The sequence below is a fragment of the Homo sapiens genome, chromosome 8 (genome assembly GCF_000001405.40).
Source record: "Homo sapiens chromosome 8, GRCh38.p14 Primary Assembly".
Taxonomy (NCBI): Eukaryota; Metazoa; Chordata; class Mammalia; order Primates; family Hominidae; genus Homo; species Homo sapiens.
The window spans coordinates 51,106,676-51,113,383 of record NC_000008.11 but is presented as its reverse complement, the minus strand read 5'-3'; the positions used below and the strand labels follow the sequence as shown (position 1 = coordinate 51,113,383).

At 38.6% G+C, this 6,708-nt stretch overlaps 1 long non-coding RNA gene across 1 annotated transcript; it reads right to left on the bottom strand.

The window, feature by feature from the left end:
- Positions 1-319: 319 nt before the first annotated feature.
- On the bottom strand, positions 320-6,315 carry LOC105375831 (uncharacterized). The gene is made up of 3 exons (XR_928866.1): positions 6,198-6,315; positions 798-970; positions 320-492 (listed from the first exon to the last, which is right to left on the bottom strand). It is a non-coding gene; the product is annotated as an uncharacterized LOC105375831 (long non-coding RNA).
- Between the last annotated feature and the right edge of the window lie 393 nt (positions 6,316-6,708).

Genomic DNA, 6,708 nt, shown 5'->3' with positions numbered 1-6,708 from the left:
AGCATGGTCTTAGAATCTACTTAGAATCTCCCAAGTTGGAGTATATGTTTTTAAAATAAACTTTCTATTGCTGAATAGTACACTCATTACACTTTACTTCTGTGTAACAACCACCCAGATTATAAAATAGAACACTGTCATACTTTTAGCTTATGTTCTTCTAAAAAGCAGAACTGGAGACAAAAACTTGTATATAGCTAGTTTAATTTGAAATATTTCAGTGAATAAAACTGGGGGAATTTAGAATAGTGAAATAAGGAAAGAAAGAAAGCCAATTGAATAGTTGAAAATTGAACTGGTTACCACTGTGTGCAAAGAGGCTTCAATCCTACTGGCGATCCTCTGATCAACTGGGAAGGTCTGTCTGCTGTACACATGGAAGAAGAGATTTGCTGAACACACCTGCTTTGCACTGCCCAAGAGGTCCTAACACCCTCACACTTCCAGATTCGTACACTTGGTTAAATGGCTCAGTAGACTCTTTCAGGTGCCCTATGTGCAGCAAAAGAGAATTTTCAGTGCAGGAAGAAAGAGATAAACAGTAAAATCAAGGACATATGTTCTCAAGCTATATTTATGCTCAACTGATTGCTGTGAATGACCAATTGTAAACATTTGGCCAAGAGAATGGGGTACAATGGATGTTCAGCACAGTTCATCCCTTGCATCTTGGATCCACTCATGCTTTTTCATTAACTAAATCAGGACTATCACAAAAGACTGCAAAGTGTCAGATAGTTACAATCTCTCCAAAAGACTCAACACAAAAGGACCAGTAAAATAATTTACAGACTCACCAACTATAACTGATCTGGGGCTGTCTGTTCTGCTTATGATGTCTATTATCTCTCACTCATTTAGATTTTTCTCGTCGTATCCAGTAAGGTGAACAGTATAAGGGATCAGAGTCCTTGGTTGCTTTTGCCTTAATTGAGCCATAATTGGAATGATTTCCCATTTACAGTTGTAACTGGACATAGCACCAAGAGATAAACCTGTGATTATTCTGGGGTCTAGATATCATCCTTTCTGTCTCTATTGTGTGGTATCTTGCTTTAACACTCATATAAATCAGTGTCGATCAATCCTACCAATATAGTAACTTCATTTATTTCTTACCAGTCAATCAGCATGAGAACTCGAACATCGTTATGGGTAATCACAGCTTTGGGTTCACTGAACCCTTACTGTTTACCTGTAGGGAAGTACTGCTCATCCCAACACGCACACATAGACACACACACACATACACACACACACACACACAGATGCAAGGATGCAAACACTTCTAATCCAGCGTAATTGTGGACAAATGAAGTAGAAATTCCTCAACCATTTGATAGTTACAAGTGCTGATTCTATGTCTAAGCCTTGGTATAAAAATCCATGTATTTTAGGTACTACTGATTCTGTATAGTATTCGGTCACTGGTTTAGTACATATATTACATCCTGAAGGACAGCACCAAAGCCCCCTACTTGACACTTCAGCTGAGCATTTAATAAGACTTTACATTCCATCTCTCTACCAGGCTGCCTGTTTCTGAGCGAAGCTATATCTGAGAGGAGCACTGAGACTTTTGGTTTAGTTGCCCATTGCCATACTTCCATGATTAAAAAAAAATTCCTTGTTTGAGGAGATCTTATTCCGGGACTCATGAAAGTAAATCAAGCCTTCTCTAGACCCTCAGATGGTGGTATTGGCAGAGGTATTTTGAGCAGGGAGGGCAAGCTCATTTCCAGGACAGATATCACTTTTAGTAAGGACAAAATTTTACCCACTTCAGACTAGAAGTGATCCAATCTAATCAATGTGCCACTGGGAAACTTGCTCATCCTCTTGAGGAATAGTGCAATTTCAAAGGCTAAGTATTGGTTTCTGCTATCAATAGCTTGGCCCTCCATCAGTAGCAGTATTTAGATTCACCTTAGTTAGATGGAGTCTATAATTTTGAACCAATAATAGGCTCCATTCTGTCATCATGAGTACTTTATTGAAAAGCCCATTGTATGTGCATAGAATCACTAGCTTGAGGCAACACTCTAATCAGCTGCAGGAAAAATCATCCTGTAAAACTATCGAGTGCTTCCCTGCACATTGATTTGACACAATGGTGAATGGCACTTTTTTGTTTTGTTTTGCTTTGCTTTTATTTTTGTTTTTTGCTCCTCTCTCTTCTGGTGAATGGCTTCAGCTCCTTTTGGCAAAATATTGGGGTAGTATTTATTGTATATACATGCAGTGGTATTTAAGACCTTTCCCCAAATGAACTGCCCTTGCTGTTTCATTGTAGGTCTCTAGTCAAAGTACTGGCTTAGATCTGGAAATTTTAGGAAAAGTTGCATTATTCTATTGTTACAGCTGAATTCAATCCTTTGCTTTTAAGCTGTTGTTAGTTTTCTCTGGTTAAGCCAAACAACATCCTATTTGCTTTCTTATTTGTCTCTCTTCTTGCTTGTCTTAGTTTGTTCAGAATGCTATAGCAAAAATACTATAAGCTGAGTGGCTTAAAATAACAAAAAATTATTTCTCATGGTTCTGGAGGCTGGGAAGTCTAAGGTCGAAAAACAAGAGCACTTGGTGTCTGGTGAGGGCCTTTTTCCTGGTTCATAGATGTCACCTTCTCATGGTGTTCTCACATCATGGAAGAGGTGAGCTAGTTCTCTGCGGTCTCTTTTATAAGAGCAGTAATCCCAATCATGAAGGCCATAGCCTCATAATCTAATCACCTTCCAAGACTCCACTTCCTAATACCGTTACTGTGGGGGTTAGGACTTCAGCATATGAATTTGGAGAGGATATAGGCATTCACACAATAATATTTATATCACTTTGTTTAGAATTGTATCCTTTTTGCCTCTGTCATTTAAGCCCTATCACCTAGCCTATGCTAGGAGGGATCTTATCAACTCCTTAATGTTGCCAGAGGAGACTTGGCGGTGGGAGGAGGTGTGGCATTTTTTCTACTTGTACCTTGGCTCCTCTCATAATTATATTCTAGACTAATTTGTAGCACACTCCATCTTTTAGCTGCAGGAGATGAGTCTCTAAATGCTACCATGGAAGATCTTTGGCTTTCTCAGGGTGAGGTGAGTTGATGGTTAATCTGATTCTGCTTCTGTCTTCTTCAAGGATTCTAAATTTTTAAATAAAACCAGGTAATTATCACAGACACTATAACATTCAAGTGTCTACTAGGGCTTCAACAAATGCTTCATTTTTCATCTGTACCTCAGTATAATCAACCATTGATCAGGTTTTAGTAACCATAATTTATTACACATTGAGGGATTATCAATATTCTAATTTCACCTGCAATAAGATCAGATTCTCTTCTGATCAATAAGTGGTCTTATTCCAGAATCTGAGATTACCAACATGTTTGGATTGGGTTTCCTCAAAAAGCAAAGCCTGAATCAAGGGATTGTTGACAAGTAGTTAAAAGTAGGAAGTAATTAGAGGGAACATAATCGAAGGTTTTAAGATTAGAAAAACCCATAAGAAGGAAAATCCAATCCAAGAGTGCATATTGAGCTAGTGTGTGTTGTGGGTACTTGGGGCTCCATGTAGCTGGAGATCCCTGAAAAGCAGTGCAGAGCAAATCTCAGAACTGCCTACAAGAAACCAAGAAAAGGGTAATATCAACAATTTTTTCCTGCCTGATATTGACCAAAGCAATAGAATGTAGTGACTACCTTGTATTTATATATTTACATAATTTCTGGTATGTTTGAGAACATTCCTACAGTTACAGAATGTGACAGCTGCAGAGAAGCTCCAGATAGAAGGTAAGAGACACAGAATCCAAGTCATGAAGAACGTAGCTGAAGGACACCTATGTTCAGCTCAATGCTGCAGCAGTGGCTAACACAAAAAGGTAGGCTTGAGAGAATGTGATTTGGGGAATAGGGATGAACTTCAAAAAGAGTATTCTGTAAGTCCTTCCTGTGTTCCTATCTGGTCACTACCCATCACAGATTGACTTGTAACAGCTTAGATAACTTTGGTCAGTTTTTGAATTTCGTATAAATGGGTATGTGTGTATTTTAGCAGATATTTACAAGGAGTTTTCCAAGTAGGTGAACAGTTTTCATTACTACCAACCATGTATGAGGATCCCAGTGACAACATCTGTTTATTAACCCTTAATTTATCAGTCATTCTGTTTTTAACTATTCTGGTAGGTCTCTAGTAGAGTCTGCCTGAGATTCTAATTTGCATTTCCCAGACAACTAATAAAGATGCATACAGTATAATATGCTTTTGGAAGCATATAATATAGGAAGCTTTTGGAAATTTCTGTTGTGGGATATCAAGTTTTGCCCATTTTTCCATTGGTATGCTGTTTTTTTTTTTTTAATTGGGTTATACAATTTGTAACTGCAGTATTTGTTTTCACCCATTCTGATATTGGTCACCTGCAGGTTTGTTTCTGCTGTCTGCTTTTCTACTTTCTTTGTTTTAGCATGCTTAAACATTTTTGAATGACTGCTCAGAATTTTATACAAAAAACTAAGAATTCTACAGATAATGTTCTCTCCCTTCATACAGGCTGTATCCTGTGCTCTGGTAGTTTGTGCAGGGAACAGAAAATTGGATAACCTCAAATCTCTTAGGGACTGAAGTGAATCATGGCTTGTTTATGGTCTGTGTAAGGTGCAGTCTTTCTCTGGTTTACCCACACTCCTAGGGTGTAGTACCTGGAGGGAAATAACTGAGAGCTTGGGATGATTCCTAGAGTCTTCCTTCTTTTCGATTCCTTGATTCCATTTTGTCTTCTAGAACGGCAATACTGCCAACAACTGCACTGTGCTTTGCAGTTCCTTTTTGCTTTGTTTTTTATTCTCCTTCACTAAGGAGATTATCATCATACAGTCTACCACACAGATTAATGTAGACAATGTGTTAACAGGACAGAAGGTGCTAAATATCACTTTCACATCTCTGTGCTTCCCTCCTCTCTGAGATTTTGGCCCCTTACCCCGCTGGTCATCTTGACCCATCAACTCCAATATTTTGTTCTGTCTCCTCCATGGGATGGCCGGGAGTTTGGTGGTTCCTCTTCTCGTTAACATCTGCCTTCTGTCTTGGTTCTCAGCCTTTCCCTCAACCCCCAGTGGGCAAATGCTTAAGGGGAAATGTGGCTTGCATAAACTTAGGTTCTCCTACATAAGCTCCCTTTCCTCCAGGGTCTGGCTTTTTAAGTTATGAGTACAGTGTAAACTCTCCAATTCCTCCAAACAGTTTTTGGTATTTTACTTCCCTTTTCTAATTGTTCTCAGTGGGAGCATTCACCTGTGTCAAGCTTCCCCATCAATATCCGAGAGTGAAGTTTCCTAAAATAAAATCTTAATTTTATTTTTGTTATGTCTTCCAATAATTTCCTCTAGTAAGTGTTCCCTCTTTTTACTGTCACCTCTATTTTCCTCTTTCTCTTGACTAGAGCATTTTTCCTTTCGCTGTAAACTTTCTTAATTTTCTGTCAACTCAAAGGAGGAAAAAAATCAACTTTGACCTTGTCTTACAATTGAAAATAGCTATTTTTTTCCTTAAGGCAAGTTTATTTAAAACAAACAACAAACAAAAAACCTAAAGATTTTATGTCTGCTATCTCCACTTTCTTACATCCAATTCCCTCAACAACCTCTACCTCTTCTTATTTTATTTATTTATTTATTTATTTATTTATTTATTTATTTATTTAGTTTTGAGACAGGGTCTCACTGTCTCCCAGGCTGGAGTGCAATTGCGCAATCACGGCTCACTGCACCCTTGACTTCCCATGATCATGCAATCCTTCACCTCAGCGTCTCATGTATCTGGGACCACAGGTGCGCACCATCAGGCCCGCCTAATTTTTATATATTTTTTTAAGAGACAGGGTCTCACTGTGTTGCCCAGGCTGGTCTCGAACTCCTGGGCTCAGGCAATCTACCCACCTCAGCCTCCCAAAATGCGAGGATAACAGGCATGAACCACTGTGCCCAGCCTCTACTACTTAAATATGTTTTCCAAGCCTACCACTTTGCTGAAACTATCCTAAATTCCGTAGATGCTTTCATTTGATTCAAGACTTTTTTCCTTAGTGAAACGCTATTTCATTTGATGGCTCCTCCCCTTCCTTTCTGAAACTGAAACTGGCTGACTTTTTCACTCTGAGCCACCCTTGAAGCACCCATAGCTAGTATTTATCCTACCTTTCACATTTTCTTCACCTCTTTTTCCGCCTATATGTTTCATGCTTATGTTTTGTGAGTCCAGCTCATTGTTTTTAACTTTCCTGCTTTCTTTGGGCAACTTTATATTTTCCTTTGGTTTCAGCTACTGTCAAAATGCGGATGCCATGAAGACATGAATTTTTATCCCAAGACTTGACTATTGTCTTGACATCATAATGGTGAAGAGTAAGAATTCTAGTGTTATCATGCCTGGGAGTGATCTTGTCCTTGAGAGTTATTATTTGGGTGAATTAATTTACTTTAATAAAATGAGCATCATAATAAAGTACCTCCTAAGGTATTTGTGGCAATCTTTCTACCTACTGAGCTGATTGAAGGCTTCCTTATTATAGTCTTTATAGGCACTGTCTTTCACCCCAAATCAGCATAAGACCACGAGGGACAACTCGTAGTTCAACAAATTCAATTTTATGGCCTTATTGCACTGAGGTTTGTGGTACACCAGGGGCTCTATGGAATATTACTTGAA